The following is a 24,807-nucleotide window of genomic DNA, read 5'->3' as shown; positions in this document are numbered from 1 at the left end:
GCTCAAACATTCCATTGGCTCTCTGTCTCATTCGGAGTCAAAGTTCTTAAAATGGCCTGCAACAGACCCCTCCTCCCCACCTCGCCCCAACCATCTGGTGACATGCTATCTTTATAACTTCACTTTCTCCTCTTCTCTTTCGCTCACTCAGTTGCAGCCACAGTAGCCACCTCGTCCTTCCTGGAATACACCAAATACACACTTGCACCATGGTCTCAGGCTCTATTTTCCAGTGAAAGTCTTCCCCCAAACATTTTCAGGGGAGGATAGTATCTACGAGATGCCTTGAAATATTCATATTAACTGAATTATCAAGTTTACTTCTAAGGATTCCTCCAAATGAAATAATCCAGTGTGCAAATACTTATTGACAGTGATATATAAGTAGTAGAATGTATTTGTGAATACTATCAAGATATAGAAAATGTGTAAATGCTAATATTACGGGTTTCTTTAAGTACATTATGACACCTTGATACCACCGGCTACTTTTCATCCATTGAAAATTATATTGTAAAACAATATTTGTTCCTATGAGAAATATTCCAAATTGTTAACCATTTAATAAAATGACTAAAATATATCTGAGCCAAACAAATAGGGTAAACCATCTAGGTACCTCCCTAGCTGCCAATATATATGGTATTTTAGAATATCAGTAGGAATATAATGAAGCTTAGGACATAATATTTATCTAAGTATCTTTCAGGAAGAGTGCAATTTTGAGGAAATAGATATTTCACTGTGGCAATTAGGTTGGATCTAGAATGGTGAGCCCCCCAAAGATCATGCTCCGATACTAAAACATGGCCACAAAACTTCCTTTTAAGTAGAATTGACCCAATTAACTGTATGACTTTTGCTTGGATCTGGGAGGTATACAAGTTTGGAGCCAGAGTAGACGAAGCTTAATCCATGCCATGAAGAGCCTTGTCTGATCTTTCACCTAATACCTAGACCTTCCCTTCTGAAGAAATACTAGTGTGAAGAAATGCAAAATGATTAGATTTCCTGGGGCACATATGTATTTCAGTAGTCTTTATGTTATTTGATATATTATTTATTTTAGGATTATAAGACTGATATCATTTGGATATTCATTGTGCCCAAATCTCATGTGAAAATGTAATCCCCATTGTTGGCAGTTGGGCTTCGTGGGAGGTGTTTGGGTCATGGGATGGATCCCTCATGGCTTGGTTGTTTAAAAGTGTGTGGCACCTCCTCCTACTCTTGTCCTAGTCTCACCATGTGATATATTGGCTCTTGCTTTGCCTTCTGCCATGATTGTAAGCCTCCTAAGGCCCTTCCCAGAAGCAGAGCAGATGCCAGTGACGTGATTCCTATACGGCCTGCAGAACTGTGAGATAATTAAACATCTTGATAAATTACCCAGCCTCATGTATTTCTTAATGGCAATGCAAGAACAGTGTAAAACAGAATATTAGTACAGAAGATTAGAGCCTTGCTATAAAGATAACTGAAAATGTGGAAGTGACTTTGCAATTGGGTAACAGGCAGAGGCTGGAATAGTTTAGAGGGCTGAGAAGAAGACAGGAAAATGAGGGAGAGTTTAGAACTTCTTAGAGAGTGGTTAAATGGTTGTATCCAAAATGCTGATAGGGACACGGACAGGGAAGTCCAGGCTGATAAGGTTTCAGGTGGAAAGGAGGAACTTATTTGGAACCAGAGCAAAGATCACTCTTGTTATGCCTTAGCAAAGAACTTGGCTGTATTGTGTTCATGCCCTAAGGATCTATGGATGTTTGAACTTCAGAGTGATGACTTAAGGTATATGGCAGAAGAATTTTCTAAGCATCAAAGCATTCAAGAGTTGGCCTGGCTGCTTCTAACCACCTATACTAACACATGGGAGCAAAAAATGACTTAAAGTTGGAACTTATATTTAAAGGGAAAGCAGAGTGTAAGAGTTTGAAAAACTTGCAGCCTGGCCATGTGGGAAAAAAGGACAGCCCATTTTCAGGAGAATAATCCAAGCAGGCTGTGGAGCAACCACTTGTTAGATTTGTATGACTAAAAGGAAAAATGTGCTGATAACCAAGGTAGTGGACAAAAGGCCTGAAAGGCATTTCAGAAGACTTCCAAGCTATTCCTCCTATCACAGACCTGGAAGCTTAGGAGGAAAAAAATGGTTTCCTGGCCAGGGCTAGGGCATTACTGCTTTGTGCCACTCCAGGAGGCTGTTCCTCTCACCCTGGCCATGCTGGATATAACTTTCTCTCAAAGGGCCCCAGATACTGCTATGGCTGCTGCTTCAGAGTGTGCAAGCTGTAAGTCTTGGTAGATTCCATGTCGTGTTAAACTTGTAGGCATGCAGTGTGCAAGACTGAAGGAGGCTTGGCAGCCTCACCTACATTTTAGAGGATGTATGAGAATGCTTATGTGCCCAGGCAGAAGTTTGCTGCAAAGGTGGAGCCCTCACAAAGAAACTCTGCTAGGGCAGTGCAGAGGGGAAATGTTGGTGTTGAAGGCCCCCACATAGACTTCCCACTGGGGCACTGCCTACTGAGGGAAATGGGACACCATCCTCCAGAATCCAGAATGGTAGATCCACTAGCAACTTGTACCCCGAGCCTGGAAATGCTGCAGCGCCACTCAATTCGAACCCCTGAAAGCAGCTGTGGGGGCTGTAGCCTGCAAAGCCACAGGAGTGGAGCTGCCCAAGGCCTTGGGACATCACCCCTTACACTAGTGTGTCCTGGATATGAGATATGGAGTCAGAAGATTATTTTGCAGCTTTAATACTTACTGATGGCCCTGGTGTGTTTCAAACTTGCTTGGGGATTTTTGCTTTTTTTTTGGCCAATTTCTTTCATCTTTGAATGGGAATGTTTACCCAAGGCAGGTACCCCCATTGTACCTTGGAGGTAAATAATTTATTCTGATTTTACAGATTCATAGGTGGAGTAAACTTATCTCCTGATGAGACTTTTGACTTGGACTTTGGACTTGGGACTTTTGAGTTAATGCTGGAATGAGTTAAGACTTTGGGGGACTATTGAGAAAGGATGATTGTATTTTGAAATGTGAGAAGAACATGAGATTTGAGGGGCCAGAGGCAGAATGATATGGTTTGGGTATTTGTCCCACACAAATCTCATGTTCAAATGTAATCCCCAATGTTGGAAGTGAGCTTGGTGGGAGGTGTTTGGGTCATTGGAGGCAGATCCCTCATGGCTTAGTGCTTTAATATTGATAATGAGTGGATTCTCATGAGATACGGTTGTTTAAAGATGTGTAGCACCTCCCACCTTGCTCCTGCTCTCACCATGTGATACAGTGATCCCTCTTCTGTCTTTTGCCATGATTGTAAGCTCCCTGAGGCCTCCACAGAAGTTGAACAGATGCCGGTGCCATGCTTCCTGTACAGCCTGCAGAGCCATGAATGAATTAACCCTCTTTTCTTTATAAATGACTCAAACGCAGGTAATTATAGCAACACAAAAAAGGCCTAACACAAATACTTTCAAGGTATTTTATTTTGCCTTTCAGGTGTTTTTCTTTGGTGTTTGGCACAAGCTCATTTTTCAAGGAGAATAAATACTGTTTAAGGAAATGGAATATTGTAAATTGATAAAGAAAAGATGAATCTAAGCTTGTACAGCATTTGCAAAGATAGAGTGTTCAACCTGTTTAAAAATGCATTGAAAGAAAATGGTCACAGAAAAGAGGACGATAGTTTTGACATTTGACGGTGACCTTGAAAAAGTGGGGAGCTTAGTGGTAGAAGCAATACTGCGGTAGATTAAGGAGCAGGAAGTAAGAAAAAAGTATTTCAACTGAGCAACATTGAGGATAAAATCGCCTTTCCTGAAATATTGAAGGATAGAGTATTTTAGGTCTAGGGAGAACTAAAATAATTTATAGCTTTTCCACCATACATTTACTTACCTTCTGTGTACTAAGCATCACATAAAGTTATATACAAATAATAACTATTTTAATCCTCATACCTCATAACCACCATGTGAAACTAGGCATTATTACCATCCACATTTTTACAGGTGACAAAATGAGACACGGAGATTCAATAACGTTCCCAAGGGAACACAGTTTAAGTGGTAAGAATATGATTTGAATGTAAGTAATTTAAGCATTATAAATGGAAGCTGTAACCATCAGACCACACTGCCTCTCCAGTATGGTTAACATGAACTACAAGGATAATAAAGAAGAGGGTCTGACACTGGGAATACCATACACAGAGACAATAGGATTGTTGGTAAAAGATTAAGAGAAGCAGGATCCTGTGGGGATGAGAGTAGTAAAAAGGGTGCATACATCTTAATGCTACAGTGATTTGTGTGCAAGGTTCATTTTTAGAGTTGGATGTTGTTGTTATATCTGGGAAAATGGAGCTGCAGAGGGATTTCTAAGAAGAAACACAAAGCAAACAGAGTGAGTGTCTTGGTTTCCAGGTAAAGCAGAAATAAAAGGTTTCATTGTACAGAGTTTCAAGGACAGAATCTTGTAGGACTGAGAACACTTATTAACAATGGATAGAAAAGTACTGACAGAGCTTTTTGATTAATTAGAAGAGAAGTTAAATAGAATTTCTATTGCAAGATATCTCCATACTCTCTAAAGTCAGAACTTCTATGTGCATAAGAAGATCTTAGAGCATTCAGACTGAGATTGAGGTAGTGACCAATGTTAGGGTAGTGTTCCTCAAAGTCTAATCTTCTGGATATGCTGCATCAGGAGCACCCAGGAACTTGTTACAAATGCAAATTATTAGTTCCCACCCCCCATAAAGACCTACTGAATTCGAAACTCTTAGCGTGGGATTCAGGAGTCTGTGTGTTAGCAAGTTCTCCAGGTCATTTTGATGCATGCTCAAGTGTGAAACCCCACTGCTCTAGAAAATTTATGAATCCATTAAAATGTAGGTTTTCCTTGGAAAAAAAATCCCTCATATATCTCCCCACCTGCCCTCACAAAGACCTCACTGAATCTAGAGATAGGAGGGACACTGTTGAGAGACCTTATAGAAGGCAGCTGAGGACCCTATGCCTGGCCTGGCTAGGTCCAGGTTCTGCAAAAGGATAGTAAAAAGATTAAATTGATATGGCTGATTAGACATGGAGAAAATTTTAGTATACCTGAGCCAAAATAGTCATACTTTATCTATCTATCTGTCTGTCTGTCTGTCTGTCTGTCTGTCTGTCTTATCTATGTATCTTTTTTCTTTTACACCCAAGTAATACGCATGCATCCTTTGTGTCTTACCCCATTCTGATCCTCACAAATGTCAGAAATCTTAGTATAAGTAAAACTCTGGAAAGAGATGAGAGTTAGGGATGTACATTGCTCACATTACTTGATAATTTTAAACAATGTTTTATAACGCACCATAGCTATTTTGACTCGGGCATATCAAAACATCACCAACATAAAAATGTTCATGTCAAATTGGCAATTTCAAAACATCCTGCTTCAGAAGCAAAATCTCAGGATCCGGCAAATACTATTCACTTCAGAAGTATAAAATTGACTCATTATAAGAATAAAAGTAAAAGACTTTTCAACATAATTAAACCGAACCCCTTTGGCAACATAACCCAGTTTGTGTTTTCTAGGGCTAGATTAAAAGTAAAAGAATATCATTCATTAATTGGTTATTATTATTCTGAACATGCCAGAAGATATTATAAAAGACATACACAGAGGTTTGAGGTTAGTGACTTCTCTAAGGGTCAGGGTTTTATATCTGGTCCAGATTGATGGAATAGGAGTGAAAGTGATTACTTGAGGCTTTCTCTGATGGATTAATTAGCTGTGAATGAAGCAACTCCTTGAAGTACAAGGTATTTTCATAAGCAGTTTCTCTTAGATATATAATCGGTTGCATACAAAAACCACTTCTTCACGTAAGACTAATGTTCCTCTATAGCAAAGTGACCGAATTGTGTGGCAGAATTACTTAAACTTTTCCAATGAAGCTTCCTAATAGCATAGAAGTATCAATGAGTACCATAAACTTGGGGTGTCTTGGAGCTTTTTCCACATCAATCTGTCTCACATGAAGAAGTCGTTTTCTTCTGATCTCTCTGTCTTAATACCCACGTCTATAAATTGGAGATACTAATAATTTCTTTACCATTATTTTCATGTTACGGTGAAATTTTAAAATAATGTACACTAAAAGTCTTATGTAAATTATAAAGTACTATAAAAATATCCAGAGCACTATGATTTTAATCATTTATTATTTGTACTAATCAACTTACCCAGACAGTTGTATTTGATTAATAGTTGGGTTATTAATTATTTGGTTGTTTAAGGAAACACAACTTAAGTGTGAACAGAGAAAAATGCACGTAGATAATTTCAAATTATGCCTTACTGGTTATTTATCACCATATAAAGAAAAGTGGGAATGTAATTTAGCCTAATCTTTCTCCCAACTAAAAGAATTCCCTTTGCAACATGAATTACGCCATCTCCTTAATCATTTCTAGTAACATGGAACTCACAACATATCAAGACAGCTTTTTGCACCTCTAATTGTTAGAAAGCTTTTTACTTGCTGATTAGTGATTGCTCACTCTTATTGTCTAAAATATGTCCCCTCAAAACTTATATGATGAAGTCCTAACTCCTACTATCTACAAATGTTACTCTATTTTGAGATAGACCCTAAAGAGGTAATTAAGATAAAATGAGATCATTAAATTGGGCCCTATTCCAATATGACTAGTGTCTTTATAAGAAGAAACAATACACACACACAGAGGAATGACCATGTGAACTCATAGAGAGAAGATAGCCATCTACAATCCAAGGAGAGAGGCCTCAGAATGAACCCAATTCTGCCAACACCTTCATCTCAGATTTCTGGGGTTCAGACCTGTGAGAAAATAAATTTCTGTTGTTTAAGTCACCCAGCCTGATAACCTGTGTCACAGAAGCCCTAGCAAACTAATACACCCACACCTTCTTATTTCCGTCTATTAGTTTGACTTCTATTTTCTTGAATACTTCACAAAAATCATTTCTTAGCATCATGATAGGCTTTGTAATATTTGAAAACAGCTATAATGCTTAACTTTTCAACTTTTTAAACTTTTAATATTTTATAATTCCACTCAGTTAAGCAAAAGTGCAATGGCGCGATCTCGGCTCACCACAACCTCCGTCTCCTGGGTTCCAGCGATTCTCCTGCCTCAGCCTCCCAAGTAGCTGGGATTACAGACATGTGCCACCACGCCCAGCTAATTTTGTATTTTTCATTGAGATGGGGTTTCTCCATGTTGGTCAGGCTGGTCTCAAACTCCCAACCTCAGGTGATCCACCTACCTGGGCCTCCCTAAGTGCTGGGATTACAGGCGTGAGCCACTGCTCCCGGCCTAAACTTTTATCATTTGAATGTTTTATAAACTGTGTTATATCATCGTCTTATAGTATGCTTGTGATAAAATGTTATATCTGGATTGTTTTTACATGAATTATTCTAAACATGGGTTTAGAAGATAACTCTTTAGATTGTAATACAGACCTCACACTTACGGACTGATAAAGATCATTTTGACTCTTCCTTCGATCATCAGTGCCTTAGCTATTACTCCAGCCTTTGGTCAATTTGCTTATCATCATGTTTTTGCTGTGTCATCCAAGTCAATGATAAAACTCCTGAACAAGATGAGGGCCATGCTTTTGTGTAGAAGTGGACAGATATTTATAAATGAGCTACATAGTCTCAGCTGGACTGCAGAATAATGTCAAGCATTCTTGCCCTTGTATAGGAAGCCTCCTGTAATCTGGGAAGTTTTCTCATCTCCAGCTCTATATCCCCATATTACTTGGATTCCATTTTATATTCTGGATTGAAAATACTAGAAGTTCTCAGAATGTGAAATGCCATTTCATGTCCCTGTTCCTTTAAGAATGCCTTTCACTCTGTCTAGGATGTTGTTTATTTTCCTTTTTACCTGATCGATCTCTCCTTGTACTTAAAATCTTAGTTTAAGTTCATTTTTTCTAGAAATATTTCTATGCCTTTCTTTTGCAACTTTTTTTCAGGTCACTACTAATTTACTTAACTTCCCTCCGTGATCCCATGGTTCCATTACAGAACATACTACACTGCACTGAAAGAATCTGTTTATATGTGTATTCATACTCCCTAATCTCACACACACACACACACACACACACACACACACACACACCCCCGCACACGCGCTTTTAGAAACCCAGGCTGTCAGAGGTTCTACCTTTAATAAACATGACATAAGTAGCTTCCAAAGTTCCCATGGTTACTGACAATACAATCATCCAGAGGGGAAAAGAGCACAGAGGAAGTTTATGCAGACTGATCTGGAAGTTTTATATATCATGTCCATCTACTTCTATTCATGTAGCAATAAACGCCCTAGTCCCATGGTCACAGCTAACTGGATGGGCAGCTGGGAAAATGTAGTCTAACTGAGGTGTTAAAGAAGGGATGGGTGGGTTTTGATGGACAGCTATCAGGCTGTGCCATACATGTTCTCTCTCTTTTCATCCACATGCAACATTATGATCCAATACTATTATCATTCTCATCTTAAGGAATTAAGACACAAAGAATTTAGGGAACATGTCTAAAGTTGCATGACTATTAAATAGTTGACCTGGCAATCCAATCCAGTTTACCTACTCCAGAGTCCACACACATCACTATTACCACTACTGTAACCAACAAACACACACACACACACACACACACGTGCGCACACACACGCGCAGAGAGAGGGTGGTGGGAAAAAGTAGAAAAGTAAGCTCTTTAAGACCAGGGCCTATGTTTTATTCACTTCTGAATTTCAGTGCTCACGATTAGTCAATGAATAGTGATCGAATGAATGAGGAAATGAGTTTTTTTTTATTTTCTGTCCTTATAATTTCACCTTCTATCTTAGATTCAGGAAATACATGTGCAGGTTTGTTACTTGGGTATACTGTGTAATGCTGAAGTTTAGGATACAATTGATCCCATCACACAATTACTGAGCACAGTACTCAATAGTTAGGTTTTCAAACCTTGAACCATCTTCCATCCCCCTCTGATAGTCCTCAGTGTCCATTGTTGCCATCTTTATGTCCATGAGTACCCAACATTTAGCTCCCACTTGTAAGTGAGAACATGTGATATTCAGTTTTCTGTCCCTGCATTAATTCTCTTAGGGTAATGACCTCCAGCTGCATCCATGTTGCTGCAAAGACATGATTCCATTTATTTTTATGGCTGCATAGTATTCCATGGTGCATATGTACCATGTTTCCTTTATTCAATCCACCACTGATGAGCAATTAGGTTGATTCCATGTCTTTGCTATTGCGAATAGTGTTGTGAAGAGCATGCAAATGTATGTATCTTTTTGGTGGAACAATTCATTTTTTTTTGGACATATACTCAGTAATGGCAGTTGTGTTTAAGTTGTTTAAGGAATCTCCAAACTGCCTTCTACAGTGGCTGCACTAATTTACATTCCCACTAACAGCGTAGGAGCATTCCCCTTTCTCCCTAGCCTTGCCACCATCTGTTGTTTTTTGACTTTTTAATAACGACCATTCTGACTGGTGTGAGATGATATCTCTTAGTGGGTTTTTGATTGTAGGAAATGAGTGTTGATCAGTTTATTCAAGGACTTAAAAATCCATTTGTTTGTACTGTCATTTAGTTTTATTTTCTTGTCTTTATATGTATGAGGAAATACTATCCAAATTCTTTTTTAAACTAAGGAAAAATAGTGCCTGTACAGATACACACTCACACACACAGACACACCCCTTTCTACCAAATTAACCAGTCTGGTAATCCACAATTATTAACATGACTTAGTATTGCTAAATCTATTCTGGCAACTACTAATCTCTACTTTATTAATTCTAATAAGTTACCTAGTTGCCAGTCTGTTCTTGAATTTTGCTGTGCATTAATATCAAGATCATAGGTCTGGAACTTCTAGTTTCACCATCTTTGGAAAAGAAACATAAATATGCCTGTTTTTTCTCTTCTGTCAGTTTATGCTGGTTTATCTATTAGGCCAAGCAAGATATAAGGCACCAGCAAAGCAGAGATAACAAAAAATTTTTACACAAAAAAATTGATATTTCAAAAGAAAACACATCATCAGAGGGATATCAAGAAATCCTCACACATTTGTTTTATTTCTTTAACAATTACTTTGCTGTTTATTATGCTTTTTTTCTTACAAATGGGGACAGTGGGTATCATAATCTCATGAGTGCACAGGTCCGCTTAAAGTTGCATCCAGTCTTCTGGCATTCTTCTTACTCTACCCACATCTTCAAATATCGCTGATAAAAATTTGTGTTCACATGTGAATACTCCTTTGGGGAGTTTGATTGAATGTATCTGAATTAGGGTGCTTGAATGGGTTTCAAGTCTTAACAGAAAGCACTTGCATTCCAAGATCAGAAAACCTAGCTGAGCAAGAGTAGCTCCATGTTCTGATAAACCTAATTAAGGCAGAAGGCCTTACTTAAAAAGACACAGAGTGGGTTCATTCCTAATTTTTCTTTGGTTCTGTGGTCATTAACTTCAATTTTTATTTTGTTACACAGAATTGGAACTGTTTTCTTATTTAGAAGTCACTAAAATTTTCACAATTTTTATTTGCACAAGAGCAAGCAATAAAGTCTACAAGTGCAGTTTCAAATTACATGCCCATATCATCAGTGATTAATCATGAGTTAATAAGGTAAGGCCATTTAGATTACAATGCAATTAACCTGTGACAGCATAGCATTCCCTCTGTTTTCTAGGTGATAAGTTAAGGCTTATTCACATTCAGAGCTGAAAAGGGAATTTTCAGTATAACTGTAACCACTATGATAGACTTTTGGTTATATATACATGTAGGTTATATATATATATGCACTATATGTGTATATATATAGGTTATATGCAGGTTGATTGTATATATGTTATATAGGTTATGTATATATATATAATATTCTAATATTGCAAAATATGAGGTCACATAAATCATCTTTCCCTTGATTGGAAGCTGCGCAAAGCAGTTAATAGACAGTTGCACATGCCCTCCGTCATGGAAAACCACTCAGAATATTTTTAGATACTTAAGGTGGTTCGATCACGTGGACTGTCTTAGTTCTAACAAGTGATCCTTTATCAGCCACACTGGTTAAATACTGCTCCACCTACGGAAATGGCTTTATGTGTGAGCGTGCTTATATGTGTGAATGAGTGATTAAAAGGACAGAAAGCCACTAGAGAAAATAATAGCTTTCCTAGCATTAATCACAGTTCTGCCTCCTCTTTATCTTAAAAAAAACACATATCAATATATATAAGAAAATAACCAATCATACATTTACAATCCAGAATATAGTATTGTGAATACTGTGGCCTTTCTCTCTCTCTCTGAGTGTGTTTGTAAGTCTCTGTGTGTGTGTGTGTGTATATGTGGGTGCATAAGCATACACACGCATGTAGTTTGGAGTTCCACGGGAAGCATAATAACTATATTCTTTTCCATTAAAATATTACAAATTAAACTATTATTTTGCTTAACTTCTACTTCCATTCTTATTTTTTTCTCCTATTCCCTATAAACACTAGTGTGAATTTGAAAGATATTTTTCCATTTGTTTACATAAATACCCATAGAAAACATATAATACTGTTTGGTTTTCTGAAAAAGTTTTATATGAATAGCATGCTTCATAAATGCTTTTTCAACTTACTTTAAAAAACTCATTAATGTGTTTGTGACATTCATCTGTGTTGAAATACATCATAATTTATTTTCACAGCTGCACAATGTTCTATTGTATGACAATGCAGCAAATTATCTAGTTCCATATTGATGGGCATTCAGTTTATTTTCCATTTTAACTGTAGGAAACAATTGTAAAATGCATAGTGCTGTCTGTTTCCTCACCCTGTGTGGGAGAGGGCCTCTCATGACAAATTTCTGAGTTATATTATGTGGATAACTATAGCTCTTCAAGGTACTAATGGCTAACTGGCTCTCCAGCATGGTATAATAATATCTTACAGTCAAATAAAATGCATAAAAGAGTATCATTTCCCCACAACCTTACTCAATTGGATATTACTATATATTTTAATGTTATTTCAGGCACATATCTATTATTTAAGTTGTTATAATAAGCATGTAACAAGTTTAGAATCCACATGTCTAAAAAAAACTTTATTAAGAGTGAAAAAACACTCATATCACTTGACACAGTAATTTCATACCTAAGAATTTGTCTTAATAAAATATTAGAAAATCATATGGTTTAGGTTGCAAGTTGGAAAGTATGTGTATAGCAAAGATAACACTGGTGGAGAGGGAGAAGAAGAAAGATACAGCAAAGAAGAAAAATGAAAGTTAAAAGGACAAAATGGAGACAAAGGAATCCTAATCGATCTTGTTCTGACAATATCTTCAATGGAAGCTGAATACCTCATGACATCATTTACCTGGATGCCCAAAGTTCATGGGAAATCTGTCTACCTCAGTGCACTCTCTTCCTCTGGGAACTCAAGAGAGCCTTTGTTTCAGGTCCTCAATTGGAATGGATTACATTCAAAATGTCTCTTGTACTTCTTGAGTTGAGAGACAAAAGCCCAGCGTTGGACTTCCTGGAATTTGGCAGCAGTGTTAATTGTAATGAGCATGAAGTGGGCCCTTAAAATGAAGATCAAAATTAGCCTCCTGGTAAAGTTGCCTCCAGAACACTGTCTCCAAATTTTAGGTTGTGGAGTGGTTTGGATGGACAGACGGGAGGAAAAGCATCCTCACCTTGTTGACGATAAGCAAATTAATAATTTGCTTGCAGCATTTTAGAATGTCTGAATAAACCAGGTTAGGATTTTTAAGAGCCCAGAGAGAATAGGGAATTTTCATTCTCTTCCTTGTACCACCATATTTCAATGTGGCAAAAAATAACATGTTTATTAACAGACCCAGATGGACCTTTCTCTCTCTCTCTCTCTCTCTCTCTCTCTCTCTCTCTCTCTCTCTCTCTCTCTCTCTCTCTCCCCATTAAGTATGATACTAGCAGTGGGTCTGTCATATATGTTTTTATTACGTTCCTTCTATCTCCACTTTTTTGAGGATTTTTATCATGAAGTGATGTTGAACTTTACCAAATGTTGTTTCTGAATAAATTGAAATTACCCTAAGATTTTTGTCCTTCATTCTATTGGTATGATATATCACATTGATTGATATGCATATGTTGAACCATCCTTGCATCCCTGGGATAAATCTCACTTTGTTATGATGAATTATCTTATTAATTTATTGTTGAATTTGGTTTGCTAGTATTTTAAGAATTTTTGCACCAATATTCATTAGTGGTATTGGCCTATAGTTTTCTTGTTTTGATGTGTCTTTAATTAGTTTTTGGTATCACAGTAACACTTCTCATAGAATAAGTGTGAATGTGTTTCCTCTTCCTCTCTATTTTAGGATACATGGAGTAGGATTCATATTGATTTTTTAAATGTTTAGTAGAATTCAGTGGTGAAGTCATGGAGTCACAGGCTTTCATTTACTGGGAGACTTTTTAATATACCTTCAATCTCTTTATTTGTTTTTGATCTATTCATATTTTGGGTTTCTTCATGGTTCAATCTTGGTATGTGGTATGTACTTAGGAATTTATACATTTCTTCTAGATTTTTTAATTCATTGGCATATAATTTCTTATAGTAGCCACTAATTATCCTTTTAATTTCTGCGATATCAATTGTAATGTCTCCTTTTTTATCTCTAATTTAATTTATTTGGGTCTTCTCCCTTTTTTTCTTCATTAGCCTGGGAAAGGTTTGTAAATTTTGTATATTTTTAAAAATACAACTTTTTATTTTATTTAAATTGTTATTGTTTTCTTCATTTCAAAATCATTGATTTCTGCTCTGATCTTTATTATATATATTCTACTTATTTGGGGTTACATTTGGTCTTGCTTTTCTAGTTCTTTTAGATGAATCATTAGTTTATTTTTTTTTTCCTTTTTGGTATAGGCACTTACAGCTATAAATTTCACTTTTAATACTGCTTTCACTGTATCCCATGGGTTTTGATATGTTGTATCTTCATTATCATTTATTTCAAAAAAATATAAATTTTCTTAATTTTTTCATTGACCCACTGGCCATTCAGGAGCATATTGTTTAATTTCCATGTGTTTGGATAGTTTCAAATAATGTTTTAAGATTTGTTTTGTGACCTAACATATCATATGGTCTGTCCTTGAAAATGATTTTTGTGTTGAGGAAAAGAATATGCAGTCTGCAGACTTTGGATGCAATGTTCTGTAAATATCTGTGAGGTTCATTTATTCTATAGTGCGGATTAAGTCTGAAGGTTCTTTGTTGATTTTCTATTTAGAAGATGTGTACAATTATGAAAGTGGGGTGTTGAAGTCTCCCACTATTATTGTATTGGGGCCCATCTCTCTCTTTAACTCTAAGAGTACTTGCTTTATATCTGAGTGCTCTAATATTGGGTGCATATATTAACAATCATTATATTCTATTGCTGGATTGATTCCTTTGTTATCAATGATCTTCTTTGTCTCTTTGTACACTTTTTCTCTTAAAGTCTATTTTGTCTGATATAAGTTCCTGCTCTTTTTTTGTTTCCATTAGCATGGACTATCTTTTTCTATCCCTTTATTTGTAGTCTGTGTGTACCTTTATAGGCAATATGTGTTTCTTGTAGGCAACAGATTATTGGGACATTTAAAAAAATTCATTCAGCCACTTTATGCCTTTTGATTGGACAGTTTAATATATTTGCCTTCAATGTAATTACTAATGAGTAATTTTATTTATTTGCGTCTTCTCCCAAATAAGTTGATAAGTAAGGACTTATCAATAATAACATTTTTTACTTGTTTTCTGGATGTTTTGTGAACTTCTCTTCCTTCTTTCTTTCCTTCGTATTTTTCTTTAAGTGAAGGTGATTTTCTTTTGTGGTATAATTTAATTTCTTGCTTTTTTATTCATATTTCTATTGTATATTTTTTGATTTGATGTCACCATGAGGCTTTCAAATACTATCTTATATCCCATTATTTTAAACTGATGACAACACGGATTGCATAAACAAAGACACAACAGAAAACTAATAAAAACTCTACATGTTATATCCACACTTCAATTTTTTGTTGTTTCTCTTTATGCCTTATTGTACTGTGTATGCCTTGAAAATTTGTTTTAGTTATAATTTTTGATTGGTTCATCATTTACTCTTTCTAATTAGGATAAGACTAGTTTACACACTGCAATTACAGTGTTATATAATATTCTATGTTTTTCTGTGTAATCACTATTACCAGTGAGTTTTGCATCTTCAGATGATTTCTTCTTGCTCATTGAGATCCTTTTCTTTCAGATTGAAGAACTTCCCTTTAGCATTTCTTTTTGGACAAATCTGGTGCTCATGACATTCCTCAGCTTTTGTTTGGCTGGGAAGATCCTTATTTTTCCTTCTTACGTAAAGTTTATTTTTTTGGCTTTATTATCCTAAGCAAACTTTTTTTTTTTCTTTTTCAGCACTTCCAATATGTCATGCCATTCTCTCCTGGCCTGTGAGGTTTTTACTGAAAATTCTGTTGCCAGACGTATTGAAACTCTATTGCATGTTATTTTTTTTTCTCTTCCTGCTTTTAGAATTGTTTCTTAGCCTTGAACTTGGGGCGGTTGACTATTGGATGCCTTGAGGCGATCTTTGGGTTAAGTCTGCTTGGTATTCTATAACCTTCTTGTGCTTGAATGTTGTTATCTTTCTCCAGGTTTGGGAAGTTCTCTGTTGTTATCACTTTGAATAGTCTTTCTACCAATCTCTTTCTCTACCTCCTCTTTAAGTCAATAACTCTTACATTTTCCCTTTTGAGACTACTTCCTATATCTCATAGGCGTGCTTCATTGTTTTTTTTTCCTTTTGTCTCTTCTGGCTGTGTATTTTCAAATAACCTCTCTTCAAGCTCACTAATTCTTTCTTCTGCTTGATCAATTCTGCTATAAAAGGACTCCGATGCATTCCTCATATGTCAGTTGTATTCTTCAAGTCTACAATTGATATTTCTTAATTATTTCAATCTTTTAATTTGTCTGATAGAATTCTAAATTATTTCTCTGTGCTATCTTGAATTTCTTTTAGTTTCCTAAAAACAACTATTTTGGATTCTCTGAAAGGTCACAAATCTCTGTTACTTAAGCCTTGGTTCTTGGTGCCTTATTTGTTAGTTTGTTGAGGTCATGTTTTTCTGAATGATCTTGATGCTTGTAGATCTTCTTTGGTAACTTGACATGGAAGAGTTAGTTATTTTTTGTACTCTTGGCAGTCTGTGCTTGTTTGTGCCCATCCTTCTTGAGAAGTCTTTCTAGGTATTCAAAGAGACCTAGGCTTCAAGCCTAATATCATTATTGTTTTTTGCAGACTCATTGAGGTACTGACTTGGTGGTCTTGAATAAGATCTGGAAGAATTTTCTGGGTTACCAGACAGAGATTTATTTTTTTCTTTTCACTACTTTCTCCCGACAAATGGAGTATCTCTCTCTGTGCTGGGCCACCAGGAACTTGGGGTGTGGTGATGCAGGTACCCCAGTGGCCACCACTACTGGGACTGTGCTGGGTCAGACCTGAAGCCAGCACAGCACTGGAGCTCACCCAAGGTTCTCTGTAACTATGAATACTTATGATGTTCATTCAAGGCCCTAGGGCTCTATGATTAGCAGGTAGTGAAGCCAACCAGCTTTGTGTCCTTCCCTTCAGGACTAGGCCCTGGCCCAGTCCAGAGATGCTCTTTGGGAGCCATGGATTGGAGCAAACACCTTAGAATTTGGCCTGATGGTCTATTCTACTTCAGCTGAGCTGGCACTCAAACCACAATACAAGCCTTTTCCTCCCCTTTCTGCAGTCAAAGGAGACTCTCCCTATGGCCAACACCACCACCAGCCCATGGTGGGTTTCTGCCAAGCCATCACCAGTATCCACCTAACACCCAAGAGCTCTTTAGCCAAATTGCAGTGAATGCTGCCAGGCCTGGGACTCACACTTCAGGGCAGTGGGGTCCCATCTGGTACAGGCCAGGTCTGGAAATGCTGTCCAAGGGCCTCGGCCTCCAGCTGGAGACCCCAAGGCCCACTTGTTGCTGTACCTCACTGTGGCTGAGCTGGTACCTAAGGTGCAAAACAAAGTTCCCCCCTTTACGTTTCCCTTTGCTTTTCTCAAACAGAAGGAGTCTTTCACTGTAGCTACCATATCTGGATATGTGATGGGTCTCCCCCAGGAGCCAGCTTGCCTCAGAGTCCAAGGCCCATGGTGTACCCTCTGGGTATTGCTGCTGGTTATTTGGGGTCCAAGGCCTCTTTAGTCAGCAGGTGATAAATCTTGTCAGGACTGAGTCCTTCCTTTCAAGGTAGTAGGTTCTCTTTTGGCCTAGGGTGTGTCTAGAAATGTCATCCAGGAGCTAGGGCCTGGATTCTGGGCCTCATGACTCTGCTCTGTGCCATTATCCTATTGTGGCTGAGCTAGTAACCAACATACAAAACAAAGTCCCCTTTACTGTTTGCTTTTCTCTCATTAAGCCAAAGGAAGGAGTAACTTTTGTTGTTGTGAGCTGCACTGCCTGGGATTGTGGAGGGATGATGAAAGCCCTCCCTTAGCCACATCTCTCCCTAGGTCATGTGCCACACTAGTTTACTGGCTCTAAGCCCACCGTAGCACTACGAGTTGCCTAGAAATTGCAGTCCTTGTGTCCTAGACTGCCTTTCAAGTTTATGTAGGACTGCAGAGTGCTTCAGCCCACGGTTATGAGGCTTGATGAGAAATTCAAGTTTTGACCACTGGGATGGGTGATTCCCCTCTGGCTAGATCTGGTCCAAATGCTCCCTCTATACATCGGTGCTGGCTGAGCCAAACAGAATTTTCCTCTCTACTATGATAGGGTAGCACTAAGTTCAATGTAAAGTCTCCCAGTCACTGCACACTCCCTTTTCTAGGTGCATATACTCTCCTTGCCACAGGGCTGCTGTCAGATGATGGGGGATCAGTGATTCAAGAATGTCCCTCTGACCCTCTTCAATGCTTCTTTTAGCAACATGAGTTTAAAACCAGGTATTGTGATTGCTCACCTGATTTATTTTTCTTGTGGTGATGCTTTTCTGTGTGCAGATAGTCATTAAAATTTGGTGTTCCTGTGGGGTGGGAGGGGAATGAATGGTATAGACTTCTATTGCACCATCTTTCTCTGCCAACCTATGGATTTTATTTCAGAAGTACAAGGATTGTTTACCTTTGAAAATTCTATCACTTTAATTCACACTATTAAAAGAATGACATGAGGAAAAAAATCTCTGTAAATGCAGAAACTACTTGATAAGATTTCAAATAATTTATGATTAACTTTTTTATAAAGATAGAAATTGAAGGGAATGTTCTTAATTTAAAAAGAGTATCTAGAAACACACACACACACGCAACAAATTTCATACTTAATTGTGACATGTTTAAAGATTTCACCATGTCATTAGGACTCATCAGTTTTATTTAAAATTTTATTGATGTTCTTCATTAGTGTAAAATGCAATGAAAAGAAATATTTGTCATAAGTATTGAAAGCCAAGAAATAAAACTCAGTTTTTGCAGATGATATAATTATGTATATTGAAAAAGAAAAAGAATCCTATCTTCAGACAAACTTTTAAAATCAGTAAGAGAATGTGGAAATGATACTAGCATTAAGCTTAATATTGATAGTAAAACAATTCTATTTCTATGCATTAGCATCAAATAATTAGAAAAAAATAAAAATGTGATTAAGTATAAAATAAAATTTAAAATCTTAAATATCTACCGATGAATTTAATGAAAATATGTAAGTCTTATACACTGAAAATTACAAATCACTACTGAGATAAATTGAAAAACATCAAGTAAACGAAAAGGTGTACCATTTTCACTCATTAAAAACTCTATGTTGTAAATTCTCTCAATCATCAATAAAATGTTAATAAAAATCTTTGCAAGTTGCGTATGTGTGTTTGTGTGATAATTCTACAACTTACATGGAAATTCAATGGGGCAAAATTACTCAAGAATATCGAAATATCTAACATGCAGTATAATTACTAGACAGCAACAATTATAAATCCACTGTAATTTGGACAGAGTAGTATTTGTGTAATAATAGAAAAATAACCCAATGATGAGCCCAGAAAGTAGCCCACATATATATGTTAAGGTAACTTATGACAAAGGTGCCCCTACAGTATAGTAGGAAAAGGTTGCTATTTTAAGTAAATGGTGCTTGGAAATTGGAAATTTTTATATGAAAACTATCTCATCTGATACGCAAAAATTATTTCCAGATGTCTCAAAAATCTGAAAATGAAAGCTAAAACAATAAAGCATTTGAGAGAAGCTATAGGATAATATAATAATAAATAAATAAATAAAATAAAAATAAAAATAAAATATAACTAAAATAAAAAAAAAATTAAAAAAAAGTCTTTGTGATCTGGAGTAGGCAAAGATTTCTTCAACAGGACATAAATAGCATTTTCCATAGAGAAAAAAAAGTTGATTCACTGTATCTTATTAAAGTTAAAAATGTATAATCTACAAAATGTATGCTTAAAAGAGTGAAGTAGTAAGTTACAAAGTGGGAGAAAATTTTATATATATATATATATCTCAAAGGACCTGAATCCAAAATATTTCAGGAACTACAAATAATAAGAAGTCAAAAAATCTAATAGAAAAATGAATACAATTTAAAAAGGCAAGTCACCAAAGAGTATAACCAAATAGCCAATAAAAATGTAATGTTTAATCTTGATGCCTAAACTAATTTTTATTCAGAGAAGTGTATATTAAAACCTCAGTGTGATAATTCTATACATCAGAGTGGCTAAAATTAAAATACAAACAAACAAACTGAGGGAATTCCACCTATTGGTGAGAAGGAAAAAACAGGATTTATATGCATTGCTTGCAGATGTGCAAATTCTATGACGTTGGAACAGTGTTAGGACTACGTGCTAAGGCTGAATATATGAAAATTCTATGATCTAGCAATCCTGCTCCTAGACCCAACAAAATGAGTGTATATTTTTACCAAAAGACATGTACAGACATATCCATGGCAGCATTCTTCTTAAGAGGCCAAATGTTGAAACTCCCCAAATGTTCATCATCAACAACAACAAGAAAAAATACATATATATGTTGTAGGGTAATAACAAAATGAAACAGTATACAGCAATGAAAATGAACAAACTACAAAAACATATAACAGCATGTTGAGCAAAGGAAGCCAGACAGAAAAGAATACATAATGAAAGTATTTTCTGATTCTGTGTGGTGTCTGCTAATATCCAGGGACCACTGTTGGGTTAACTGAAATCACTACACGTCACAGGATGTCAAGCAACCTTGTTAAGATAATGTGAACCTCTTCACATTTATTCTTGGTTATTTGCTTCCTCGTGTCTGCACATGAGCTGCACTGCTTTTCTTTCTTTTTCTGAAAGAAGTGAAGCTTTTATCTGCTACAAGTCCTTCACACATGCTCTTCTTTTTGCATAGAAAAGAAGAGTACTTTTTCCCACTACTTTTTCCCTGCGTACTTCTTTCTACCTGACTTCATCTCTCAGAGTAAATATCTTTTCTTTTCTTTTTTTTTTTTTTTTTTTTTTTTTGAGACGGAGTCTCGCTCTGTCACCCAGGCTGGAGTGCAGGGGCGCGATCTCGGCTCACTGCAAGCTCCGCCTCCCGGATTCATGCCATTCTCCTCTGCCTCAGCCTCCTGAGTAGCTGGGACTACAGGCGCCCGTCACCACGTCCGGCTAATTTTTTGTATTTTTAATAGAGATGGGGTTTCACCGTGTGTTAGCCAGGATGGTCTCGCTCTCTTGACCTCGTTATCCACCCGCCCCGGCCTCCCAAAGTGCTGGGATTACAGGCGTGATCCACCGCGCCGGGCCAATATCATTTCTTTAAGAAAGTCCTCAAGAGCTCCCAGTCTGAATTAGGGAAGTCCTGTTATTCTCTCCTAACACCTTCTCCTGTTACTTCATCACTCTTAATCACAGTTTTTAACTTTAAATTTCTATAATTATTTGTTTATTTTCTGTCTCTTCCACCAGACTGTGAGTTCCATCAGGGAAGAACCACTTATGTCCCATATACTTTTCTACTTCAGAGCTTGGCTTAGTGTCTGACGCATAGTAGAATCTAAATGTACTTGTAAAATGAATGAAATATTGACTGAAATAATACAAGTAGGAAGGTGTTAAGTGGAGAGTCTTTGGCACCACAAAAGCCAAGGTTAAAATCTTTCCATTGTTTACTAGCTGTTTATCACCGTGAAGTCCTTTTAACTTTGAACCTCTATTTCCTTATTTATAGAACAGAGGAAATTGACCTTTCCTTTGCAGCCTATTTAATTCCTATGCTTTATTCCATGTCCAACTGAAGTTCCAACTCATCCAGAATCCATACCTCCAGTCATCATTTATCTTTATCTTTTTTGATTGCTTGAAACACTGAACCTTGTATCAAACAACTCAGAACTTAATTTTGCTTTAGAACTGAGATAACATACTATAAAGTAAACAAGGGTATGCAACATACCTTTCAATTATTTGTAGAACCAAAGCCCCACACAAGGCATCTAGTTGATATTCACAGTAAATACACTAACACTGGTTATTGGAAAGTTGCTTACAGAGACAACAGAGCGTCTTCATTTTAGAAAAGGAAGGGCTCTTAGCATCTACTTCACTTCTTTATTATACAGATTAGGCAACTGGTTATTAGAAAGGACATAGGACTTGCCCTAGGTTTTACCACTTGTGGGCCACAGATCAAGTGCACCCAGCCTATTTTAACATACTACCTTCAAGTTGCTCCAACATCTCTGGGTTAAATCAGCCTCCATCACCAAAAGAAATATTAAGAGTTCAGGAGGAACAAAAAAGAGAAATATTTTATGCAATGTAGATGTCACTTTCAAAGAAGTGGCAATATCACTTCAGCAACATCATACCAGATTCATTTCAAATTGTGCTTTTTGTAGATGGGCATTCAACACAGACCAGATGTAGCTTCCAAAGGGACCAAAAGAATGAGAGTTTTACATTTCATTACAAACTGCAAAATATTAACTTCATCATACTCAAAAGAAAACAGAAATTATAAACTTATTAAAAACACCCATTTGCACATTTTTTGTTCTTTATTTTTATTAATGTGAAGTTCACATAACATAAATGAACCATTTTAAAGATAGCAATTCAGTAACATTTAATACATTCACGATGTTGTGCAACTACCACCTCTATCTAGTTTCAAAACATCTTTATTACCCACATTTTAATATAATTTTAAATATGTGATGGGTACAAATTAGATTTACAAGGAGTCACAATTAGATTGACATTTTTGAAATGGTTGCAGCAATGTCCCTTTTACTATTTCCATTAACCATGACCTTTTTATGAACTCCTATACACAGATATTTAGAGTTCAGTGTTATCGATCGCTAGAACTAATCAGTGAGTAACTAAAGGAAAAAGAATAACACATTTAAGCACTTAGTTTTTTACAGTTAAAGCATTATGGATAATCCAAATATTTTTTGAGATTTCTAGTCTAAAGTGCTTTAGAGAACACTCTGAATATATAACAGCCCACCACCACCCACACACACACCCTCCCAACCCACAGATGAGCAGCTTTCATTTCCCTGTGAAGCTAGGAGCTTTGGCTGGAGAAAGGAGCCTCTATTGGCTTTAGCTAATGAAGCGTCTCCTTTTGTAAACTGGCAGCGCTTTCAATCTGGCAGCTCTGAAAATCCCACCAGGAGGGCCTTGCACTAAACTAGTTTATTAATCGGTATGCTGCGTCTCAGTTTTCCAAGGCTGGTAATGTCCTCTGGTGTTGTGTGCATAGCAAGAAAATTACATAGTCAAAAGGGATGCTTTCCCTTTGGAAACATATAGCACAATGCAAAGTGAAAAATACAGTTACATTTATTTACACTTACGCCCTCTCTGCTCATCTCATCAGCCTGTGGAATAATGGCACCACATGGCCAGATTCTGTTTTCCTAATAGGTACTAACGGAAACTATGCAGATTGCTAATTCTTCATTCCTCCACTCACTTCTTCTTGCTAATTTTCTTTTCCATTTTAATTCTTCCAGCCAGTCTCTATCAAAACTGCTTCAGTTTCTAAGCAAATGCATATTTATTATGGGGTGTATTTGGTATGCCAAATCAATGCTTTATGTTTTAAAGTCTTACAGAAATGCAGCTAAATTTAATCTCCTTCCCCCAGGAGTTGGGTACAGATCGTGGGGAACTTGAGAATATATTTATATCTGTTATGATTTACATTTACCTTTAATTTTGGAACTTAATTGCTTAATGTGTATTATTTATAAAGGATCCTAGGAACTACATAGTAAATAAGATTTAATGCATGTCTGAATTTGTTCAGTTAAAGGGAAACCATGTAATAGAATCACAGAATCTTAACTCTAACACGTATCTTTGGATACATCAAATTCCACCCTCTGATTTTATTTTTGAAGAAACTGAAATGCCTAGTATGGAAGAGTGCTGGTCAAGGCTGGACAGCAAGTTAGTGTCCGATCTGAACCAATAGTCTCTCCTTTAGAAAATTGGAATTGGCTAAAAAGCCTGAGTTGATTTTCTCTGGAGAGCCTAAATGACATAATTATGATGTAAAATAATTTGTGAAGTACTTATTATGGGTCAAGCACTTCCTAAAGCATTTTACATAAATTAACATACTTCATCTTCACCGTAATCCAGTAAAAAGTTGGTGTTTTTATCACCTCCATTTTACAGATATGGAAATGGAGGAACATAGAGGTTCCTGAGCGACTTGGCCAAAGTGACACAGATAAAGTGGATTCAGGATTTGAACCCAGGCCTCCTGAATCCACTGAGAAAAGCCCCGTAGAGTTGGGAGCAGGCATGTGGTAGCCCACACGCAAACAGTTAAAATAGTCTATAGAGAGGAAGGAACATGGCTGATATAGAGAAAGAAGCTGAGAAGAGATCCTATGTGGCCTCAGAGTAAAAGAACATGGCAGGAAGAAAAGAAAAGAGAAAAGGGGGAAGGCAGGGAGGGAGAGACAGAGATAGAGAGAGACAGAGAGAGAGAAACACAGAGAGAGAATGAGAGGACCGAGAGAGGGAGACAGTCAAGAAAAAGTAAGGAGAAAAATAGCCTGATCATTTCCTATTTTCTGTAAATTCTAGCTTTATTTCCTGCAAAGATTTCTGTGTGATTCTCCTGTGTTCTTATCAGAAATCTACTTTTTCCTTAATGTTGATCTTCTTGGGGTGTACTTTTGTCACTACTTTCTTGCAACTAAAAAAATAATTGAGCTAGATAGGAACTGAAGTCTGCTGCTTTACACTAAGAAAAATTTCCATATATTTTTGAGAAACCACTCAGAACAAAACTATGTCACTCACATTCTTATACTCCACTCCATCTTCCCTTTCTTTCACTCCCCTTCCCCCTGGGATTCTTGTACTCTTGCTTTGAGGGCACCTCTCATGTTTTCAAAGCCTCATGCTTTTCACAACACTCCTCTTCTAGACCTCAACATAACTTCTTCCCTACTCCTTTTTTTACATTTTCACCCTCGTTATCTGTTATTCTAAATCCTTATCCCTCTTCTCTTTTTTGTCCCATCTCCATGTTCTCAAGCTCTTCAAATGAAACTAACAAAACAACTACTTTAAAAAAA

This window comes from Homo sapiens, chromosome X, assembly GCF_000001405.40.
Source record: "Homo sapiens chromosome X, GRCh38.p14 Primary Assembly".
NCBI classification, from domain to species: Eukaryota; Metazoa; Chordata; class Mammalia; order Primates; family Hominidae; genus Homo; species Homo sapiens.
Note: the sequence above shows the minus strand (reverse complement) of the source record.